The sequence below is a fragment of the Homo sapiens genome, chromosome X, assembly GCF_000001405.40.
Source record: "Homo sapiens chromosome X, GRCh38.p14 Primary Assembly".
NCBI classification, from domain to species: Eukaryota; Metazoa; Chordata; class Mammalia; order Primates; family Hominidae; genus Homo; species Homo sapiens.
Window position 1 is genome coordinate 9,922,323 of NC_000023.11, and position 23,028 is coordinate 9,945,350.

Here is a 23,028-nt window from a genome sequence, read left to right on the forward strand (position 1 = left end):
TGCTGGGACTCCAGGCATGAGCCACTGTGCCTGGCTGATTTTGATAACTTTATACACCTCGTAATCAAAACAGTAAGTTCCAGAAAGCTCCTTTGTACTCTTTCCAATGAAACCCTGCCCCACAACCATCCCTCCCTGATGTGTGACCCTAGTGAGTGTTGCCTCTTCTTGAGCTTCATGTAAACTGGACCCTACTTGTGCGTTCTTTGGCGGTTGACCCTTCATTCAGGGTCGTGCCCCTGGGACCCATTCTCACTGCTGTGTCTCGGTAGTTTTTCTAAATTACTGGCTAGTGTTCCCTTCTGTGAATACAGCACCACTGGTTGATCCACTCACCAGTAGGTGGGCAGTGTTTGGCCAACATGAATGAGGGCTTGTGTTGTTTCTCTTGGGTGAGAGAGTTGTTTCTCTGGGAGCGGTGGACTGGCTGGGTCGCAGGGCAGGTGTGTGAGAGTCTCCTTCCTCACACAGTTTCACTAGGACTCAGAAGCCATGGTCTTTTCTCTCCTGTGAAGGGCTTGAGACTTTCTGGAATTGAGTTCATGTAGCTGTCCTCAGCTTTTGATGAGGGACGTGTGTGTGTTCCAATAACACTTCGTTTACAAAACCAGGAGGCAGTGGAGAGTTGGCCCTTGGTTTCTAGTTTGCAAACTCCTGGTCTAGAAGGTAAGACAAATATTAATTTTTAAAACCCGCGTGTCTGTAATTGCTCATTTTGAAAGCACTGTGAAGGGAACACTAAGGGAGAGGGGATGGGAAGACTTTTTACATGTGTGTGGGGAGTCTGATGAATTTGTAAAACCTATGATTTTATAACTTTTCTGGCCTCTTTTTAGTTGCTACTGTGAGCAGTAGTCCATATGTGAACCAGAGTGGACCTCCACAAGCTGCCTTTTGAAGTTGTTACAGTTAGCAGAGACGAACTGGCCCAGGGTTCAAGAAGCCTTTCTGGCTGGAGGAATGTGGATCAGTCCCTCCAGGCCTGGAAGAGGGCAGTGGGGGGCGGGGGGTGCACTCAATCTTACCATTTTCACAGATGAGAGTAATTTCATTTCAGAGGGGTATGCCAAGGCAGCGATGAAAACTTCAGGAATAGCTTTGAATATCTAAAGGAAGTGGGTAAGAAAGTGGGAGGTTGGGAGTTCCGGAGGGAGAGTTCCTGTAAAGCAGAGATTCCCAGGGCTGGCTCAACATCCACATTGCCTGGAGGGCTTTCCCTGAAACACAGGCTTGCAGGCATGCCAGCCCTTGCTATTTCCCACCTCTGCCCAGGCCTGGCCCTCATCAAGGCGGGAGAGCCCAGCTCCCAGGGCTCACGCTCTGGAACCAAGAATGTGGCTCTCCAGGCACAGAGACAATAGAGGCCTGGAACAGATCCTCAAAATGTGTGTGCTGAAGACATACTCAGGGTCCGATACTTGAGGGCCATCTCACATTATCATCTCCAAATCTAGGCAGGTTCTGTTATTGGGCATTAACCCCTCGAGAAATCAGTGCCTGTAACTATGATTTGGATCATCTGTGCTTTGGATTTCTCTTTTAATCTTCTCTGTCTCCTCCCATTCTTAACCACAAGTGATTTATCAGCCTCTCTAATTCAACTTCATTACTCTTTGCCATCCAAGTCCCTGCAAGCACAAATAAAACCCAAAGGAAGCAGCAGACCTTTTTATCCATCTGTGAAGACACTCAAGAAACACTAAATTCATCTGACTTTCTAGAGTAATTGCTTTCCCCACATGGCACTAGAATCCTGGCATACAGGGAGCAGCTTCAGCAGAGACACGGCAGTAGAGAAATGACTGACTGAAGGATGGTTCAGGGCTGTTGTCCTCCCTGAAGGTGGTTCCAACAGGACACAAAAGTTGCAGCAGAGCCTGTGAGAACAGCTGTGTCCTTTGTCGTCACTAGCTGGTCTGTCTGTTCATTGGGCAATTTCAGTTTTTATGACTGAAAGCTGGGCATGCAAAGGACAACCAAACAGCCTCTAGCCTGCTGATGCTCACAGTCTGGAAAGTCCTATGGTAAATCAATATTTCTTTTTTGCTTTTCAGAGACAGTCTCACTCTGTTACCCAGGCTAGAGTGCAGTGGCATGATCATCGCTCACTGCAGCCTCCAACTCCTGGGCTCAAGCAATCCTCCCGCTTCAGCCTCCTGAGTAGCTGGGACTAAAGGTGCCCACCACCATGCCTGGCTGGTTTTTCAATTTTTTGTAGAGACAGGGTCTTGCTATGTTGCCCAGGCTGGTCTCTAACTCCTTGCCTCGGGCAGTCCTCCTGCCTTGGCCTCCCTAAGTGTTGGGATTGCAGGCACGGGGCACCACATCCAGGCTTTTTTCATTTGTTTTTAGAGACAGGGTCTCCCTCTGTCACCCAGGCTGGAGTGCAGTGGTGTGATCATGGCTCACTGCAACCTTGAACTCCCAGGGTCAAGCAATTCTCTCACCTCAGCCTCCTGAGTAGTTGGGACTGCAGGCATGCATCACCATACCTGGCTAATTTTTAATTTTTTTTTTATTTTTATTTTTTGTAGAGACTGGGTCTTGCTATGTTGTTCAGAGTGGTCTTGAATTCCTCCCACCTCGGCCTCCCACAGCACTGGGATTATAGGTGTGAGCCACTGTGCTCAGCCTGGTAAATTGGTATGTCTAAGGAGAGTGTTTGGTGCCATTGTTCCCAGGTGTTCACACTGTTTAAAATGTTTCTAATACATCTCAGCATTGATAGGTTGGTTGCTTGGTTGGTTTCTTGCCTCTTTTGGGCTCCATCGCCTTCCCCACTGTCTCCTTTTTCCACCTCATCTGGCCTTTGTGGAGTGCTGTGTTGGCAAAAGAGCTTTCCACCTGTGCCTCCCCAAGGGTGTGTGTCTGTAAGAGCTGCCCAGGGCCTGGGAAGGACAGTGGAGACACCAGGTACTCGTTCGGGAGACTTGTGCTCAAAATGACATGGGTGTGCCGGCTCTTAGCTGCCTGACCCGCATTCTGAGGCCTGGTGGCGCCGTGCTTCTTCAGCGTGTGAACACCTGCCTGGCAGCGTCTGATACACCTCACCAGGCTGAAGGGCAGACCAGCTACCTGTGATTCCTGATAAAAATTCTGTGCTTTACAGAATCCCTTCTATTTATGCCCACAACCAATGGAGGAGTGCTTTCTAGATGATAACCTCAAACTGTCAGTGTTGAGCTTGAGTTGATGTTTGAGTTACTGAGCGTTCCACGTTCCATGCTCATGGAAACCTGGCTCTGTTTGGAAGCAGCAATGCTGGGCCCTACCCCAGTTGTCCCATGAGATAATTGTGCTCTGTGCACACAGTTCCGGTCCCAGACCCTGGCTTTGTAGCATACATTTTCAAGGAGGACTCTTGGGCCACCACAGATACTGCCCTATCCATTGCTATTTTTGATGGTATGCTTGTGTATAATACGTTTGTATATGGCATAAGTTAGCAGAATATGTAAATGAAAGGAGGAAACACCTCAATGTCATTATCCACGGGAAGTGTGTTCACTCTGTCTCTTCATTGTAAAAATGAGGCAGTGCCGTTGCCCAGAGCTCTCTTGGCACCTTTTATACCCCTCACCGGCTGGCTTGGTCGGCTGCAGGGGTGCCCTTCCCATCTCATTGGCTGGGTGTGTTGCATGGTGTTATGCTTTGGGAAGAAGGTTGTATGGTGCTGGTGTCACAGAGGCCTGTGTCCAGGTCTGCCCCATCACAGACTGACCCTTTGGTCTTAGGTGCTCAGCAGGTGCCTGGCTCATAGGAAGCCCACGCAACTCCATCTCCCACACCAGGGCCTTTATCTGCTGCTAGCTCACCGCCATCCTATGCGATGTGGCCTGTGATCAGCTTGTACAGGAGAGGCAGCTTTCTGGGGTGTAGTTGCCTGCCTGACGTCACATAGCTGGCACGTGATGGATCCCGATTGGATGTGTCTGCCCGGGGAAACCTCAAGTCACAGGCAGCTAGCACAGCTCAAGCGTCCCTAATCAGAAGGTCTGAAATCTTAAATGCTTCAAAGTTCAAAACTTTTTGAGCACCAACATGATGCCATAAAGGAAAAATTCCACAGCTGATCTCGTGGGATGTGTCGCAGTGAGAATGCAGGTAGAGACTGGGCAAGCTGCTGCTGTTTGCTGTTGCTGGCGCCTCACAGCTGAGGCGGGTGTTCTGGTGCCATTGCCGTGCTGCTTACTTACCCTGGACACATTCCTCTCTCACTGTATTGATGGTATATCGTGCTTTTCACTGTTGAGTGCTTATATATCAGTATAGGAAAATTATTGCTTGTTGGCAGCATATAAATTCAGAGTCCGGAATGACGGAGATGCCAGACAACTACAGATTGTGCACATGGGTGGCAGAGAGACTGACACTTTTGCTTTATGATGGTTCGGTGGATACAAACTTTGTTTCGTGCACAAAATTATTAAGCATATTGTATAAAATTACCTTCAGGCTATCTATATAAAGTGTATATGAAGCAAAATGAGTGTCAGGTTTAGACTTGAGTCCCACCCCCGAGATGTCTCATTATGTATGTGTAAATATTCCAAAATCCAAAAACGTCTGAAATCCAAAACACTTCTGGTCCCAAGCATTTCGGAAGAGAGATGTTTAACCCGTACTTTAGAAAGCACTCAGGCGCTGGAGTTCATCGCGGGCAGCATTTCAGCAGCACCTGTGTTGTGTGTCTGCAAATCAGAATGCATCCCTATCCCATCATTGACACCAAAAGTAGTTATGATGCCTGTGGCAGTGGCTCATGCCTGTACTCCCAGCACTTTGGGAGGCCAAGGCAAAAGGATCACTTGAGCCCAGGAGTTTGAGGCCAGCATGGGCAACATGGTGAACCCCATCTCTACAAAATAATTTAAAAACTAGCCAGGCCATAGTGGCATACACCTGTGGTCCCAGCTAGTCAGGAGACTAAGGCAGGAGGGTCACTTGAGCCTGGGAGGTCGAGACTACAGTGACCCGTGATCACGCTGCTGCACTCCAGCCTGGGCAAAACAGCAAGACCCTATCTCTGTCTCCAAAAAAAAAAAAAAAAAAAAAAAAAAAAAAAAAGTAGGTGAGGAGGACCCTGTGGTGTGTGTTCCTTAAGTCATCTGCAAGATTCAGAAATTTTCCCATCCTCCTTGCTAAAGATAATTGTTAACCCTATTCAGAAAACAGTGGTGGATTATTGATTACAGAGCAGTTCAAAACTGTTTAGTTGTGTTGGGAACATTCACACACAAGGTCCTTTCACGGAGAACTTAACCATGGTGTCTTGAAAAAATGCAGCTTCTCACCTTTTAAAATTCCGCACAAAAAAAGTGAAAGTGATTGAAAGCAACAGGTGCATTTACATTGTGTTCAAGTGAGGGCATAACATGATGCATGTAATAAATATTTGCTTGCAAGGCCCTGAAGGAAATAGCCCAGATCCCTGCCCTCTGTAGAGGTGCTTTCAGCCCAGGGAGGAGCGTGGAGGCAGGTGAGCAATGGGATGATTTGAGAGAGTCCCCTTGCTGGGGCGTGACCTGGAGGTGGGGTGATGTCAGGGCAGGACTGGGGGAGCTGAGGGCTGTGTGGAGGCAGGGGCAGTGCAAGGAGACCTTGCATTCAGACATGGGGCTGGCTGTCTCGTCGTGGAAGCAAAAATAGAGTAATGCCAGCAGGATCTCTAGAGTGTTTGTTTTTTTCCTAACAGTGGTTTCGGTCCTGTCATAGCATGCTGGGTGACTGAGTACACTAATGGTGGCCCTTCCTGCAGGTTTGTCCCCTTCATATAAGTTCTGTTTGGCTTTGAGGTGCTGTTTTAGAGCTTCATGCTCTGTCTCCTTCAGTGGCGGCCAGCCCAGGGAGAATGGCAGGGCCGTGGGCTCCATGTAGCAGATCTCTGAAGCCACTGCTGCTTGGAGCCTGCCGGCCCTCTCCCCTCTGGGAACTGTGCAAGCAGCTGTCTCCTTGGGAACGTGGCATTAGCATGTTTTGCATGAGAATGAACACCAACCAAGGCTGAATATCAATTGGATCCTAGAGTGCAGCTGCCTTTGAAATGTTCCTTTGTGTGGCCGAACTTCCTGCTGCAGTTGATTCCTGGAGCTTGTGCGAAGACACAAAGTCTTAAGTCATCTTAGTGCCTTGCTTACTCTATCTCTGGATCTTGCTGTCACCATTTATTTTATCCTTAGAAGTATGGCAAAGAGAAATGCATACATATATGCAGAGACACATGTCTACACACAGGCACAACAGAGACACACGTACCTACACATGCACACAACATATACAACCCGGGCACACACTCACAACATGCATCTCCACACAGACACAACACAGGCACACATACCCACACACGCATACAACGCACAACACAGGCACACACATACAACACACATGGACACAGAGACATGCATCTACACACATACACAACCCAGGCGTACACATACAACATACATCTACACACAGACACATGTGTACATTCAGACACAACCCAGACTCCTACATCTACACATGCAAACAACCAGACATACACATACAACGTACATCTATGCAGAGATATACATCTACACACATACACAGCGCAGGCACACACACAGTGTACATATAGACAGACAGACATTTATACACATACAACATGCATCTACACACACAAAACATAGACACAGACAACATCTACACATAGATCTGTACACATACACACCAGATGCATACAACATATAGACATGCACGTAACACATAGACATGCATCTGTGCGCAAGCACAACATGGACCACTCACACACACAACCTGCAGAGCTGCCTCTTGGAACCAGTTAGAAACAAAAGTTGGAATATGACCCCAGCAAGTCCCCAATCCCCATTTTTGGTCCTTTTCTTCGTTTGTGTTGTTGACCCTGATGGCCCAGATTCTTATCAACTGCGACAATAAAAACCAATTAGTGATTTTATAGTTTGACTTTGCAAGGTGGGGGTGGGGGGCAAACTTGGTCCAGACATTGCTGTGCTGCTGCAGGTCTGAATGAAGTGCAGTGTTGGGCTGGAGCGCGCCCCGTGCTGCACTTCTGGCGTGGGAAGTGACGATGCAGCACACACCACTCCCCTGAGAACAGAGCACCCAGCTCCTGTAGTTTGGCCCTCTAGGAAGATGGGAAGGAGCCTGTGGGCACCTTCTGATTAGGAGAGAAGCCAGGAGCCAGCCTGCCGTCCACTTTCTCAGTGGGTCTCTTGCTCCATGTCATTGTTCACTTCTCACAGGGCCTTTGCTCCCTGCAGGTGAGTTCTCTTTCGTTTATGGGTGGATCTCGGAGCACTTCTGCAGAAGGCACTTTGCAAATAGAGTTCCTTTTTAATCAGTGGGTGACCAAAGGCACTTGGATTTTAGCAATAAATTATAGGTCATTTAATTATCTGTTTCTGTGATGTGGTGATGTGATATGGTTTGGCTGTGTCCCCACCCAAATCTCAACTTGAATTGTATTTCTGAGAATTCCCACGTGTTGTGGGAGGGACCCAGGGGGAAGTAATTGAATCATGGGGCCTGGTCTTTCCCCTGCTATTCTTGTGATAGCAAATAAGTCTCACAAGACCTGATGGGTTTATCAGGGGTTTCCGCTTTTGCTTCCTCCGTTTTCTCTTGCCACTGCCATGTAAGAAGTGCCTTTCACCTCCCGCCATGATTCTGAGGCCTCCCCAGCCATGTGGAACTCTAAGTCCAATTAAACGTCACTTTGTTCCCAGTTTCAGGTATGTCTTTATCAGCAGCGTGAAAACGAACTAATACCTGGCGCTTTTAAATAACAGGTACCAGGTGCTTTCAAGTGGGTCTATGGGTGATAGATTTCAGGAGTTTTCAAAGGGAAAAAAAGTGCAAGTGTACCTCAACTCTTTGGCATGAAATGAATTATTGAACGCTGAAATATTGAGGCTGGGCGCAGTGACTCACACCTGTAATCCCAGCACTTGGGAGGCCAAGGCAGGTGGATCCCTTGAGTCCAGGAGTTTGAGACCAGCCTGGGCAACATGGTGAAACCCTATCTCTACAAAAATACAAAAATTAGCTGGGTGTGGTGGTGCACACCTGTGGTCCCAGCTGCTAGGGAGGTTGAGGTGGGAGGATCATCTGCCAAGGAAGTGGAGGCTGCAGTGAGCCCAGATTGTGCACTCCAGCCTGGACAACAGAGTAAGACCCTGTCTCAAAAAAAAAAAAAGAAAAGAAAGAAAGAAAGAAAGAAAGAAATATGGAAATGAAATGGAATATTGAATTCTGAACCATTGAATATTGAAATGCAATGTGGGGGAGACATCTGACCTGTGAGAGCGCTTCTCAGAATGCAAATCAGTTTGGCAGTATTTTAATGTCATTCTGTGTTTTATAACCAGACAAATGTATTGTTCTCTAACCCATGCATAGCTGTGTTCAAGTTTTGTTTTGTTTTGTTTTGTTTTTTTGAGACGGAGTCTTGCTTTGTCACCCAGGCTGGAGTGCAGTGGTATGATCTCAGCTCACTGCAACCTCCACCTCCCAGGTTCAAGCAATTCTCGTGCCTCAGCCTTCCGAGTAGCTGGGATTACAGGTACACGCCACCATGCCCGGCTAATTTTTGCATTTTTAGTAGAGATGGGGCTTCACCATGTTGGCCAGGCTGGTCTCGAACTCCTGACCTCAAGTGATCCACCCGCCTCGGCCTCCCAAAGTGCTGGGATTACAGATGTGAGCCACTGTGCCCAGCCATTCAAGTTATTTTGATAACACTTCAAGCTAGGAGTTTCTGTTAGTGTCTGTCTGATGCACATGAGAAATCTGACTTCTTTGAGTGGGGTTGCTGTTGTCTGAAGCTGAGGTTGAGCTATTTGGTTACAGCTTGTTTTCTAAGCCTGTGCTGTGTCTTCAGCCTCCTCTAAGCTGAGAGCAGAGGAGGCTGCCCTCCCAACACTTTGGGACCAGACCTCCCAACACTTTGGGAGGCCGAGGCAGGTGGATCGCTTGAGGACAGGAGTTCAAGACCAGCCTGACCAACATGGTGAAACCCCATCTCTACTAAAAATACGAAAATTAGCCGGGCGTGGTGGCGCATGCCTGTAGATCTAGCTACTCCGCAGGCAGGCAAGAGGATCACTTGAACCCAGGAGTTTGAGACCAGCCTGGGCAGCACAGTGAGACCCCATCTCTACTAAAATTTTAAAAGTTAGCCAGGCATGGTGGTGGGCACCTATAGTCTCAGCTACTTGGGAAGCTGAGGTGGTAGGATTGCTTGAGTCCAGGAGTTCGAGGCTGCAGCATGCTATGATCACACTGTACTCCAGCCTGGGTGACAAAGCGAGACCCCAACTCTTTAAAAGAGCCTTTGTTGGTCTTAATTTTCATAATACAATACTGATTTTCAAGGTTTTATTAAAGAATTGATTTGCAGCTCATCTTAGAAAGGTTTACCCCTTTGTATATGGCAATTTCCCATAAGCCACATAAAAATACTGTGACTTGAAGTAAATATTTCTGAATCTAGCTGTATGTGAGCATTTCCACAAACATTAATGTTGTTTCTAAAGTTTTTGTTCATTTATTCCTGCAAAAACAAATGCAATTTGTGTGTGTATGTGTGTCTGTGTGTGATGTGTGCGCCTGTGTCTTGAATGCTTCATGTTCCCTTGTGGGACATGCCAGTCGACAGCCTCATGTTGTCTGAGGTGCGTCACGACTCCCCACCTTGCATGAGGAGTTGCGGTGGCGACAGGTGTGGGAAAGTGCATATGGATTTAACTCCTGAAAGTGGCTTAAGGGGATTGTGAAGATCCAGGTCCAGTCCCTTGTGGTGGGAAGGTATTATTGGAATCGTTGATTAATTTGTACTTGTTCTTCCTCTAGACAAGCAGATGCCCAGTGTCGGGAAGGCAGCCCAGGATCACAGCAGCACCCACCGAGTCAGAAGGCACCGAACCCACCCACATTCTCTGAACTATCTCACTGCCGGGGAGCCCCAGAGCTGCCCCGGGAGGGCCGGGGCCGAGCGGGAACCCTACCTCGAGATTATAGATACTCGGAGGAGAGCACCCCAGCAGACTTGGGACCCCGAGCCCAGAGCCCTGGCTCACCCCTGCATGCTCGAGGACAAGACTCGTGGCCAGTGAGCTCAGCCCTGCTCTCCAAGAGGCCAGCCCCACAGAGGCCACCGCCACCCAAGCGCGAGCCCAGGAGATACAGGGCCACAGACGGCGCACCTGCTGACGCCCCCGTGGGCGTCCTCGGCAGGCCCTTCCCAACGCCATCCCCTGCGTCCCTGGATGTGTATGTGGCCCGCCTGTCCCTCTCCCACAGCCCCTCTGTGTTCAGCAGTGCCCAGCCCCAGGACACCCCGAAGGCCACTGTCTGTGAGCGTGGAAGCCAGCATGTGAGCGGGGACGCATCACGTCCTCTGCCAGAAGCACTGCTCCCTCCCAAGCAGCAGCACCTGCGCCTGCAGACGGCCACCATGGAGACCTCGCGCTCCCCCTCGCCCCAGTTCGCCCCCCAGAAACTGACGGACAAACCTCCCCTGCTCATCCAGGATGAGGATTCAACCAGGTACTGTCCTGCGACGGTGTTCCCTCCCCATGAGGCTCCTAATGTGGGACGCGGGTTCTCAGTGGGTCTTTCTGGGGAGTCACCTGGGCACCTTGCTTTAGCTCAAGGCGTTGGACTTAAAGTCAGTACTGGGGAATAACTGTGTGGACAGAAAGTGAAGCTTCAGTGGTGGTTGGATTTTTATCTCACTGGGGGGCTGCTGTTTCCTGCAGGGAACAGGGGTAGATGTGAATAGGTGATACATCTTCCCCTTCCTCCAAGCCAGATGCATTTATATCTGCATTACCCACAGGCATCTGCAGGGTAGAGGTCTGTTTTTTTTTGTCGTTGTTGTTGTTTTAATGCAGTCAATATTTGTGATTGGAATCGAGTTTAACCTAAGCATGCGACCTTTAGGTGAAATTGGTATTTTTCATGGTGTCCAGTATTTTCTTACTCCTTTTTTTCCAGATTTTTTTTTAATGTTAGAAAGCTAAGCTGGTATATACCTTTTGTTAAAGCAGAAGAATACTCATTCACATTTCATGGTGCTATCATCAGGATTTCAGGCATGGAATTATTGCGTCCATTGAGATGCTGATGAATGTTAGGCAGGAACTTGACCTTTCAAGAGCACTAGGCCCAGCATGGTGGCTCACGCCTGTAATCCCAGCACGTCGAGAGTTCAAGGCAGGTGGATCGCTTGAGCTGAAGGAGTTCGAGGCTAGCCCAGGCAACATGGCAAAACCTTGTCTCTACTAAAACTACAAAAAATTAGCCAGGTGTGGTGGTGCATGCCTATAGTCCCAGCTTCCCAGGGAGGAGGCTGAAGTGGGAGGATCACCTGAGCCTGGAGGTCGAGGCTGCAGTAAGCCAGGATGGCACCACTGCACTCCAGCCTGGGTGACAGAGTGAGACCCTGTGCAAAAAAGAGCACCGGCTGTTTAGCTTTCTTCACACACAAATACCACCTCCTTGAGTGCCTTGAAGGACTGAGAAATGGAAGAAGGGGAGAATTTCTGTCTCATTCTCTGGAGCAGTGGCTCTCAACCTAGGAGGTGGAGTGTGATTTTGGCCCCCAGGGGACATTAGGCAATGTCTGGAGACAGTTTTTGTTGTCCTAAGTGCGATGGGAGTGGGGGGTGCTCTCTGCATCTAGTGGTGGAGCCCAGGGAGGCCACTCAGGGTCTGCAGTGTGTGGGCGGCCCCCACAGAGCATTGTCCGACCGCAGATGCCAGCTGCTCTTAGGCTGGGAACCCTGCTGTAGAGCCGCACGCCCAGCACAGGACCCACCATCACCTGTGCTGTGTAAATGTGGGGCAAAGAAAACCAAGTCGATGAATGCAGGTCCTCAGTCACACCAGGTGTGGCGGGTGGCTGCCGTCCTGGACAGGACAGATAACAGGTATTCCCATCGCCGCAGAAAATTCTGTGGGACCTCACTGCTCTAGAGTCTCAAGTAATTTTTTTTCTTAGCTTCTAAATAACTCAGCAGAGAAAGAACATGACTGATACTGATCCTGTATCTCCAGCCGAGGCATTGTAACCACAGTTTTCTCTGTGGGCCAAAACTGGGCTTTGCATCATTTAAAATGTATCTAAAGATCATTCAGATATCCCTTGAATTGGTAACATTGTAAGGTTCTGAAAGGAAAGTGTCTTACTCCTTTCAGGCTGCTATAATAAGATCTCATAGACTGCACGGCTCATTAACAGGAGAAATGTGTGAGTTGATGAGGGCTGGTCGCTGGAAGGTCCGACCCACTGTGTTCTGTCCTTATTTTGAAGTCAAGGCTCGTGAAACTGTTCTCATGTGGAAGTCAAGACTGTTTTTAAGAAGAGAGACCATTTCTGTTAAAAAATGATCAGGAATAGATGCTTTGTTGGAAAGTGTATGTGAACCCGTGGGAGATAGGAGATTTGTTTTTTTTCCTTCCCGGTACTGTATTTTATATTATTATCATTATTATTCCCTGTCGCCCAGGCTGGAGTGCAGTGGTGCGATCTTGACTTTTGGGTTCAAGTGATTCTGCTGCCTCAGCCTCCCGAGTAGCTGGGATTACAGGCACCTGCCACCACACCAGGCTGATTTTTGTATTTTTAGTAGAGACGGGGTTTCACCATGTTGGCCAGGCTGGTCTCAAACTCCTGACCTCAGGTGATCTGTCTGCTTCAGCCTCCCAAAGAGCTGGGATTACAGGGGCAAGCCACTGGGCCCAGCCTCTTTCCCAATATTTTAAAACCTGTGAAGGGAGATTTGTTTATGTTGTTTAATTTGTTTCTATTGTGCACATCAAATTTCTGCACAAAAGGGGGAGGATACCAATACAGGCTGATGTGAAAGTCAGTAATAGGCAAGCAGAGCTTCTCCCGGGAGCCGGGGGGGCGGGGGTGAAGGGAGTGCAGAGGGTTCTGCGTTTGCTGGTGCTTGGATAAGGTGGCCAGGTTTTCCTCCTTCTTTTATTATTATTATTATTATTATTATTTATTATTATTATGTTTTTAACAGAGAGGTGGGGAGGTCTCACTGTGTTACCTAGGCTGGTCTCAAACTCCTGGGCGCAAGCAGTCCTCCCACCTTAGCCTCCCACAGTGCTGGGATTCCAGGTGTGAGCCACTGTGCCTAGCCAGGGTTTTCCTTCATAAGTCTGACCTATCTAAATGGTATTTTCCACAGTTAGACTTTGTAAATTGTCTTCATGAGGAAGCAGTTGTGAGGTGTCTGTGAGTCCCTAGATAAAACACATCAGATGTTGCTGAACCCTACTGGAGAGAGGGAGGAAAATACGCAGTTAGTTCATCTCAGCCTGAGCACCACTGCCTTGATAGGGAAAGAGCCCTCCTGCATTCCCAGTCACCAGTGAAAGAGGGAAAAACAGCATTAAATTTAGAGCATCGTGGCTGCCCTCCTGCTGTGGAAAATTGGATACATTTGTGTAACATCGTAGGGGCAGTTTTGGGTTGACTTCATTAGAAACACATCCTAATTTGGGGTTGTGGAGTTTGGCCTGTTTCTTTTTGCTTCCCTCCTGACCACCAGCATATGGGGCTGCTTCTCCAGTGCTCTGAAAAGCTCTTGGCTGAGATGGCCCTGGTCAGCATGGTCTAGCACGGTGCCGCTGAGAGCAGCAGGTGCAGGGCTGCCCCAGACAAGGGACTGTGGCATTGCTGGGCCTGTTCCTCCTGTTCTCTCTCCCCCAGTCTCCCAGGGATGCTTTAGGTACCTCTCTAGTCCCTTTCATCCAGAAACTTTTCTTTTTTTTTTGAGATGGAGTCTTGCTCTGTTGCCCAGGCTAGAGTGCAGTGGTGTGATCTCAGGTCACTGATCTCAGCTCACTGCAACTTCTGCTTCCCAGGTTCAAGCGATTCTCATGCTTCAGCTTCCCGAGTAGGTGGGATTACAGGTGCGCACCACCACACCCGGCTAATTTTTGTATTTTTAGTAGAGACAGGGTTTCTCCATGTTAGCCAGGTGGGTCTCGAACTCCTGACCACAAGTGATCCACCCGCCTCGGCCTTCCAAAGTGCTGGGATTACAGGCATGACCCACCACATCTGGCTGACACTTTTTTAAAAAAAAAGCAAAACTGTGCCCTTTGGAAGTAATACAGAACCGATGACTCGCTGCTTACTGCGAGATCGTATCTCACTGGTGTGCAAATCTGTGCAACGCTAGCTTGAAGCACAGCGGGCGGGGGGTACAAGGACAGTGTTGGGTGGGCTGTCCTGCATATGGCACAGGAGGTTCTCCCAAGTGGGGTGGTGGGGGGCTTTGGCCTGACTCCAAGCACGGCCACTCCGGAGAGGAGCCCTCCCCAGGCCCTGAGAACTACGCAGGAACCCGCGGGCCTGCACCAACCTAAGGACGGATGGGAATCCTGGAAAATGCCCATCCACTGCAGGCTTCCCCTACAAAAGAACATTTAACCCAACAGGGCTTGTTGAAGTTTGCATTATCATCTGCGGAATGACAAATGGTATTAAATAGTCCTCACAGCCCTCCACGAACCCCTGGAGGACACCTTGGGATGCCTCAGGGGTGGCATTGGCGGTTTGAGCATAGAAAGGATGCTGTGGTTGGAAGGCGGAGGTAGGAGTCAGAGGGAGCTTCTTGAGGCCTCTGCCTCATCCAGGATGTGGGATCATGGAGGCTCCTTCGAGTTGGGTGGCTGGCTAGTGCCTTTGAGTCAGGTTCCCATCCAGAGGGGAGGGCAGGGGACACGTCAATCAGGGTCTGTGGCTGGAGCATGCTTTGCGATTTCAGCAGACTGTTCATCTTCCAGAATTGAGCGGGTGATGGACAACAACACCACGGTGAAGATGGTGCCCATCAAGATCGTGCACTCGGAGAGCCAGCCAGAGAAGGAGAGCCGCCAGAGCCTGGCATGCCCCGCCGAGCCACCTGCCCTGCCCCACGGGCTGGAGAAAGACCAGATCAAGACGCTGAGCACATCTGAGCAGTTCTACTCGCGCTTCTGTCTGTACACGCGGCAGGGTGCTGAGCCCGAGGCCCCACATAGGGCCCAGCCGGCTGAGCCCCAGCCCCTGGGCACCCAGGTGCCCCCCGAGAAAGACCGCTGCACCTCCCCTCCAGGGCTCAGCTACATGAAGGCCAAAGAGAAGACTGTGGAAGACCTGAAGTCGGAGGAGCTGGCCAGGGAGATCGTGGGGAAGGATAAGTCCCTGGCCGACATCCTGGATCCCAGTGTGAAGATCAAAACCACTATGGACTTGATGGAAGGCATCTTCCCCAAAGACGAGCACCTCCTGGAAGAAGCCCAGCAACGGAGGAAGCTGCTCCCCAAAATCCCCTCTCCTAGAAGCACAGAGGAGAGGTGAGTAGGCGTGGCCTCCCAGCTTGGGCGTGACTCTGCCTGGCATCTCTTAGGCTTGTAAAGGGAAGGGGGTCTGCCTCTCTGTTTTCATGCGTGCTTTTGGGGAAGACGGGTTTTCATAAGGGCTCCTCGATGCTTAGCACTTTTTGGCTTTTTTGTGAGCCTCCGGAAAGAGAAATGGAGGGTTAACGGCTTTGGGCCTGACATGAAAATACACACTGCAGACCACCAAGCTGCCTTGGCCTGAGGCCAGCAGGATTTCTGATGATGCCCACAGGTCTCCTTTCTCGTAAGACAGCTGTTCTCAGTGGGGGCCGCTGTCTACCCTGGGGGACAGTTGGCAATGTCACTGTGGGGAGGGGTGTTCCAAGCATCTGGTGGGTGGAGCCCAGGAACACTGCTCAACATCTACAGTGCACAGGAGGGCCCCCCCCACAGAGAGTCATCCAGCCCCCACGTGTCCCTAGTGCCAACATGAGAATGAAGGCTTAGATTGAATATATATGTGTTTCTTTATGAAATGTTTTTTTAAAACTTTATTTGAAATTTTTTTACATCTGCATTTAAAAAATTTATTATAATTTGGCCAGGCACAGTGGTGCACACCTGTAATCCCAGCACTTTGGCTGACCGAGGTAGGCAGATCATTTAAGCCCATGAATTCAATACCAGCCTGGACAACATGGCAAAACCCAGTCTCTACAAAAAGTACAAAAAATTAGCCAGGCGTGGTGGTAGACACCTGTAGTCCCAGCTACTCGAGAGGCTGAGGTGGGAGGATCACTTGAGCCCAGGAGTTGGAGGCTGCAGTGAGCTATGATGGTGCCACTGCACTCCAGTGTGGGTGACAGAGTAAGACCCCATCTCTTGAAATAGAAATGAAAAAAAATTACGACAATTTACACCTGCCTGAACAAATGTATTTTAATTGGTTTTGTAAGTAGCACTTTCAGCGTATCTCCTTCAGCCACTTGACCACAAAGGCATGCGTGGTGGCATCTTCCCTGCTGCTGACATATGTTCTGCCAGCACAGCGTCATTCATGGGTAGGAAGGTGGAGTGGGTATGACACACAGCCAAGGAGGAGCAGCTGGACCAAGTGGACCCAGGCAGGAGGGCGCCGACAGGGCTGCTGGGAGGAAGGGAGAAGGGTTGGTGTTTGTAGATAGCGTCACACATGTCCTTGTCCTCATCAACCCAGGCTCCTGGTAGAGATCATCTGTGCTCTCACCTCTGTAGCAGAGATTCTTAGATATTCCTGCTTATTTGAGTTTTTGCCTTTTTTAAAAACTATGTTTCATACACTTACGAGTATCCATTTGACAGGGTTGATGGTTTTTAGTTTTAACCTTGTTACCTACTTACTTTTCCCCCTTTGGCTGTCTCATCTCCCTGGCTGGTGTCCTTTCGTGAGCACCAGTGTTGATTTGTCACAACCCAGGGGGTGGGGCAGAGGGGCTGTTTGCGTGCACAGTCCCAGCTCATTGAAGTTCCCACACCTTTACCCAGGAAAGAGGAGCCCAGCGTGCCTGCGGCCGTGTCCCTGGCCACCAATTCTACCTACTACAGCACGTCGGCCCCCAAGGCGGAGCTGCTGATCAAGATGAAGGACCTGCAGGAGCAGCAGGAGCACGAAGAGGATTCGGGAAGCGACTTGGACCACGACCTGTCGGTGAAGAAGGTAGGAGAGTCCATTCCAAATGACAGCGTGTGCGTGTCCAGGCAGGGGCAGGCATCCGGATCACACCATCCTGCCCCAGCGCAGACCCTGCACCACGTGTCCCAGGGCGTTTGTGTTCAGCTTTCACTCAGGACAGTGGAATTTGAGGTGATATTAGTGAAGCCCTCTGTTGTTAGTTCTATGTCCTAATCTTGAGCCATTCCACAAACGTCTCTTTGCTGTTTCAATAGGATCCAATGTCAAATTAGTTTAGTCACCATTCTCTTTCATTTTATCTTATTTATTTATTTTTGAGACAGGGTCTTGCTCTGTCGTGCAGGCTTGAGTGCAATGGTGCAATCATGGCCCACCGCAGCCTTGACCTCCTGGCCTCAAGCGATCCCCCTGCCTCAGATAAAGGAAAATTATTTTCAAATTAGAAAGTGGTAACTTTTTTTTGAGATAGAGTCTCCCTCTGTCACCCAGGCTGGAGTGCAGTGGCACACTCTCAGCTCACTGCAACCTCTGCCTCCCGGGTTCAAGCAATTCTCCTACCTCAGCCCCTCGAGTAGCTGGGATTACAGGCACCTGCCACCAAGCCTTGCTAATTTTTGTATTTTTAGTAGAGATGGGGTTTCACCATGTTGGCCAGGCCGGTCTCGAACCTCAAGTGATCCACCCACCGCAGCCTCCCAAAGTGCTGGGATTACAGGCGTGAGCCACTGCTTCCGGGCTGGAAGATGGTAACTTTTTGGTTCAAGGTATTAAAAAGGGAAATGAAAATTAAGGGTTTAGGTCTTGGGGCTTTTACGGGCCCTCCATCTGGCACACGGTACCATTCGCTTCATTCTGGTTGCACATTCCTCTTTTAAAAAATAATAAAGAATCCAAAACATGTTCGGTTTTTCCACACAGAACCAGGAAAATCATACCATCTGGACCATTTGAATTTGGGTCACACCCTAGGTTTAGAGAACTGCATTCTTTGCTCGCATGCCTTTGTTTTTCATGATATAATGAATTTCAGAAGCGGCATGCCTTGATTCTGCCGCCCTCATCTGTGGGGCACTCTGTCCACCTGCTTTGGGAGGCTGGAGATGCTGGGAAGCCGCCTCACCAGAAGTGTGGCTCCGGAACTGAGTGAGTCACTGTGGGCTGGAAGTTGGCCTCACTTTAGTTCAGCAAGTGTGAGTTGGGCACCTGCACCAGAAGCACATGCTGTACATCCCAGCTCTCTATGGTGCTGATGACTCAGCGGTCCTGTTTTCCTGCTTGATTGGACAAAGCGGCCACTGCTGCATTACATTTTCTCCCTGCTTTCCCGCAGCCACACGCTTATGATGTCGCACATTCCTGCAACGCGTGCACAGGCGGAGGCGTGTTCAGGGAGGAAGCGAGCATAGCGCAGATGGGGACTTAGCAGGCCACCTGCTCTGTAGCTGCTTCAGGGGAACATATGAGACCCTAATTCCGTAGGCTTCCAACATTCCCAGGGCGACCACAGTTGTCTCAGTCACAGCATTGCTAGGTGGTCATAGAGCTGAGAGCCAAATCAGGGAACCCTCTGTTTTAGGAGAAGACTAAGGACAGAGTTGAGAGAGTGGAAGCCCCAGGCAGGGAGGCAGCAGGGGGCTCTGGTGGCTGGTAGAGAAGCATCACGCAGAGATGACAAGATATGGTTTTATACTTGGGGCAGCTCAGAAGGACTCTGCCCAGAAAAGAGGGCACCATGTTGAGTTGAACCAGATAGCTGATTGGTTTAAGTTTAGAATCTTTGAGAATTATGGCTTTTCCCTGGAACCAGGAGGTGAGTGCAGGGCCCAGACAGAATAGACCTTGTTTCCCCTATAGAAGGGAACAAAAGGTGGAGGAAGGGAATGAATGGCCCAGGGCTCATTCTTAGTGGAGGGATGAGAGTGGCTGTGTGCCTGGTCTCTACTGTTGCAGGCTCTTACCTGAGCCTCCTGGAAAGCCACGCACTGCAAGAAATAGCAGATGGGCCTGCCAGACAGTATGGACCACAGTGGTGAGCCCTTCAGCACCCTGGGTGGTGTGGACAGCCACTGATCTGTTCACTGTCCCAGGCCAGGTCTTGTCTCAGAAATCTTTGAAAGCCAACGGCTGTTCTTTATACAATGGCCCTTTAACAAAGGGGAAATGGTTTCAATAAAAATTTGCATATGACATGTAAAAGAACCAATAAAGAAATCTGGACTCCTTTCAGAGAGCCCAGTTTCAAATTAGCTCAGCTGAGGTAGGTTTTGAGGGCACATGTTCATGCACCAGTATAAAATCTACATTTCCGTAATTGCTGAAGAATAATGGCACTGAAAATTTCCTGAGCGGCCGGGCGCGGTGGCTCACGCTTGTAATCCCAGCACTTTCGGAGGCCGAGGTGGGCGGATCACGAGGTCAGCAGATCGAGGCCATCCTGGCTAACATGGTGAAACCCCGTCTCTACTAAAAATACAAAAAATTAGCCAGGCGTGGTGGCGGGCGCCTGTAGTCCCAGCTACTCGGGAGGCTGAGGCAGGAGAATGGCGTGAACCTGGGAGGCGGAGCTTGCAGTGAGCTGAGATAGCGCCACTGCACTCCAGCCTGGGTGGCAGAGCAGAGACTCCGTCTCAAAAAAAAAAAAAAAAAAAAAAAAATTCCTGAGCAGCCCTGGCGGGCGTCCTTCCTTATCCACAGTTCCCTGCATTGCTTGCAGTCTTCCTTCAGGCTAGCATTGGTATCAGGAATTTGGGAAGTTCTTCATGCCTGTTTCCTGTTTTGTGCTTTTCCCTCAAGTGATGACTATCTAAAATTTGGCCACATTCTCAGCTGTGAGATTCTCAACTTAAACAGTCTCTCCAGATAGGTAGTGAGTAGGAAAAGGCACAAACCACTTTTCCTCTGCTCTCACGCCACAGCAACCAACACAGAAGACTTCGGTGACCACATGTGTGAGGGGGGTTTCCCACACACCCAGCGAGCAGTCACTTCTGCAGCAGACACCAGCTGGGTGGCCTCTGATTCAGTTCAGATGTGACACTGTCAAATTGGAGGTAGCGTCTCATCCCACGGGTTGAGGGCTCAGTCCCCAAGACTGCACCCCCCACACACACCAGTCGCAAGTCTGAGTCTCAGGGACTTCTGACCAACCACCTTCAAGTTGGGGTTCCCATGACCCCCTCTTTAGTTTCCATTACTTTGCTAGAGTGGCTCACAGAACTCAGGGAAACATTTACATCTATGATAAAGAATGTTACAAAGGATACACATGAAGAGATGTGTAGGGCGAGGCATGGGGAAAGGGGTGCGGAAGAGCTTCCATGCCCTCCCTGGGTGCTCCACCCTCCAGGAACCTTCTTGTCTTCACCTGTCAGGAAGTCTCCAGCCCCGTCTTCTTGGGCCTTTTATGGAGCCTTCATTGGATAGGCCTGATAGAAATCTGTGTAGAAATGTGATTGGACAAAAAGACTACAATCCAGTCCTAACAGACCGAGGAGAAAGCCACAAGGTCTGCCTGTTGAGATTCTTGTTGGCCTCTCTGTGTAGCGTTCCTTCCCCCTAGGTGTGCCGCAGGACCCTTCAGGAATATGGGGATCTTAAGACCTGCATTCATTCAAGGCGGTGGAGGATTTCTTTATGGAAAGGTTGGGGAAGATTAGATCTTGCTTTGGGCAGGTAAAAGTTTAAGACCAGCCTGGGCAACATGGAGAGACCCCGTCTCTACAAAAATAAAAAAATTATCTGGGTGTGGTGGTGCATGCCTATGGTCCTAGCTGCTTAGGAGGCTGAGGTGGGAGGATTGGTTGAGCCCAGGAGGTCACTGCTGCAGTGAGTGGTGATCATGCCACTGCACTCCAGCCTGGGCAACAGAGTGAGACCCTGTCTCAAAAAATAAAATAAAATAAAATAAAATAAATGCATCCATGTGAGGGAAAGACCTCACGCAATCAGGAAATAGGCTGCCTCGTATCTGGCACATGTTTCTCCTGCTGTGGGGTTGACTTTTCCTGCCTAATGCTCATCCGGCTGGTCATTTTACCCATAGATTATGGAATCAGGGCACGACCACTTGAAGCCAGGAGTTTGAGGCTGTAGTGCACTATGATCATGTCTGTGAGTAGCCACTGCACTGCAACTTGGGCAACATAGCAAGACCGCTTCTCTAAACAAGTAGAAAAAAGGTCATCATTTAGAAGGCTGGTGGGAAAGGGCATAGAGTGTTAGTGTCTAATAGTTACGCAGTTTCAGTTGGGGAAGATGACAGAGTTCTAGAGACGGATGGTGGTGACAGGTGCATCGCAGCATGAATGTACCACACACCACAGAACTATGCTCTGAAAAGTGGTCAAGATGGCAAGCTTTATGTTACATATATTTTACTACAATTTTGAAAACAGTCATCTGTTTGCATTTTGGTCAAGTTGAAATCAGTAGGTTATAGTAAAAGACTGTTAAGTTCATTCGTATCCCTTTATTGGTCTTAATTTTTATATGCTAGTATTAGCAATTAAAATTTTTTTTCTTTTTTTTTCTCTTTAGCAATTAAAATTTTAATTGCTAGGCCAGGCCCGGTGGCTCACACCTGTAATCCCAGCACTTTGGGAGGCCAAGGCGGGTGGATCACCTGAGGTCAGGAGTTCAAGACCAGCTTGGCCAACATGGTGAAACCCCATCTCTACTAAAAATACAAAAATTAGCCAAGTGTGGTGGTGCACGCCTGTAATCCCAGCTACTCAGGAGGCTGAGGCACGAGAATTGCTTGAACCCGGGAGGCCATTGCACTCCAGCCTGGGCAACAGAGCAAGACCCTGTCTCAAAAATAAAAATTAAATAAATAAAAATAATTGCTAGTGACAATAATTATATGTACAGGACACATAACTAATCACGGAATTTGGTGCTGGACATAAGACTCACTACTTTCTCTCTATGTGAATCTTTAAATTAGAAAATTCCAAAGGACAGAATACATAGGTCTGTGACTCCTTCCAAAGATATGGGTTGAAACTGCATCTACCATGACGAGCATCGGGGCCACAACTCCGACGTTCTCTAATAGGGCATGAACAGAACGAGAACAGGTTTATTTTATTTTTAAATGCCAATAGTGCCATTAGGAGTCATTCTTCTTTCCCTTAGTCGTATAAATCCCCTATTATTTGGTGATGCAAAAGTGAGCTTTCACGCAGGTCAGCTGCACCTTTCACGTAGGTGCGCCAAGGTGGCAGTGAGCAGTGTGGCCGGGGTGGGGGCCGGCCTAACCAGTGTCTCCGTGTTCCCTTGCCATCCCGTGCCCAACAGCAGGAGCTCATCGAGAGCATCAGCCGCAAGCTGCAGGTGCTCCGGGAGGCCCGCGAGAGCCTGCTGGAGGACGTGCAGGCCAACACCGTGCTGGGGGCCGAGGTGGAGGCCATCGTGAAAGGCGTCTGCAAGCCCAGCGAGTTTGACAAGTTCCGGATGTTCATTGGAGACCTGGACAAAGTGGTGAACCTCCTGCTGTCGCTGTCAGGCCGCCTGGCCCGGGTGGAGAATGCCCTCAATAATTTGGACGACGGCGCTTCTCCCGGTGATCGGGTAAATGCAGATACGTCTGACTTGGAAATGGGGGGTGGTCTCGTGGGAAGGCTGTTTTTCAAGTGTCGTGAAAGTCAGCTCCTTGGAGCCTAGCATAGCTTCCACATGGCCTGTCCACCTCCTCCTGCAGACCTTGTCGAGACAGTGCACGCTCTATACCCTCTCCTTCCTTTTATATTTCTTTAGTTGTTTGTTTGTTTGTTTGTTTGTTTGAGACAGGGTCTCATTCTGTTGCCCAGGCTGGAGTGCAGTGGTGCGATCTCGGCTCACTGCAGCCTCTGCCTCCCGAGGTTCAAGAGATTCTCCCACCTCAGCTTCCCGGGTAGCTGAGCTCCCAGGTGCATGCCACCATGCCTGGCTAATTTTTGTATTTTTTTGGTAGAGATGGGATTTCACTATGTTGGCCAGGCTGGTCTGGAACTCCTGAGCTCAAGTGA

General features: G+C 49.5%; 1 protein-coding gene across 6 annotated transcripts in view, besides 7 other annotated features; it reads left to right on the forward strand.

Annotated features, from left to right (window-relative positions):
* SHROOM2 (shroom family member 2) overlaps positions 1–23,028 on the forward strand; it is a 163,015-nt gene that overhangs the window by 135,894 nt on the left and 4,093 nt on the right. For 3 of the 6 annotated variants that reach the window (NM_001649.4, XM_011545506.1, NM_001320663.2), the window contains 4 exons: positions 9,853–10,548; positions 14,812–15,363; positions 16,873–17,044; positions 22,319–22,591. In NM_001649.4, the coding sequence (NP_001640.1) occupies positions 9,853–10,548; positions 14,812–15,363; positions 16,873–17,044; positions 22,319–22,591 (1,693 nt within the window). The remainder of the gene's footprint in view (positions 1–9,852; positions 10,549–14,811; positions 15,364–16,872; positions 17,045–22,318; positions 22,592–23,028) is intronic. The other 3 variants (XM_005274500.5, XM_017029492.1, NM_001320664.2) reach the window with 1 other exon arrangement.
* Positions 781–1,282: an enhancer, noted in NCBI's record as "H3K4me1 hESC enhancer chrX:9891143-9891644 (GRCh37/hg19 assembly coordinates)". NCBI's record gives its function as "activates a minimal SCP1, AML or CMV promoter by ChIP-STARR-seq in naive H9 embryonic stem cells {active_cell/tissue: H9 hESC(naive)}" and the evidence as "EXISTENCE:reporter gene assay evidence [ECO:0000049][PMID:30033119]".
* Positions 1,283–1,782: an enhancer, noted in NCBI's record as "H3K4me1 hESC enhancer chrX:9891645-9892144 (GRCh37/hg19 assembly coordinates)". NCBI's record gives its function as "activates a minimal SCP1, AML or CMV promoter by ChIP-STARR-seq in naive H9 embryonic stem cells {active_cell/tissue: H9 hESC(naive)}" and the evidence as "EXISTENCE:reporter gene assay evidence [ECO:0000049][PMID:30033119]".
* Positions 5,477–6,195: an enhancer, noted in NCBI's record as "OCT4-NANOG-H3K27ac-H3K4me1 hESC enhancer chrX:9895839-9896557 (GRCh37/hg19 assembly coordinates)". NCBI's record gives its function as "activates a minimal SCP1, AML or CMV promoter by ChIP-STARR-seq in primed H9 embryonic stem cells {active_cell/tissue: H9 hESC(primed)}" and the evidence as "EXISTENCE:reporter gene assay evidence [ECO:0000049][PMID:30033119]".
* Positions 17,041–18,240: an enhancer, noted in NCBI's record as "BRD4-independent group 4 enhancer chrX:9907403-9908602 (GRCh37/hg19 assembly coordinates)". NCBI's record gives its function as "activates an origin of replication core promoter dependent on BRD2, P300/CBP, MED14 and CDK7 cofactors, and independent of BRD4, by STARR-seq in HCT116 cells {active_cell/tissue: HCT116}" and the evidence as "EXISTENCE:reporter gene assay evidence [ECO:0000049][PMID:35650434]".
* Positions 18,325–18,824: an enhancer, noted in NCBI's record as "H3K4me1 hESC enhancer chrX:9908687-9909186 (GRCh37/hg19 assembly coordinates)". NCBI's record gives its function as "activates a minimal SCP1, AML or CMV promoter by ChIP-STARR-seq in primed H9 embryonic stem cells {active_cell/tissue: H9 hESC(primed)}" and the evidence as "EXISTENCE:reporter gene assay evidence [ECO:0000049][PMID:30033119]".
* Positions 19,862–20,021: an enhancer, noted in NCBI's record as "active region_29404". NCBI's record gives its function as "activates an Ori minimal core promoter by ATAC-STARR-seq in GM12878 lymphoblastoid cells {active_cell/tissue: GM12878}" and the evidence as "EXISTENCE:reporter gene assay evidence [ECO:0000049][PMID:35858748]".
* Positions 20,162–20,241: an enhancer, noted in NCBI's record as "active region_29405". NCBI's record gives its function as "activates an Ori minimal core promoter by ATAC-STARR-seq in GM12878 lymphoblastoid cells {active_cell/tissue: GM12878}" and the evidence as "EXISTENCE:reporter gene assay evidence [ECO:0000049][PMID:35858748]".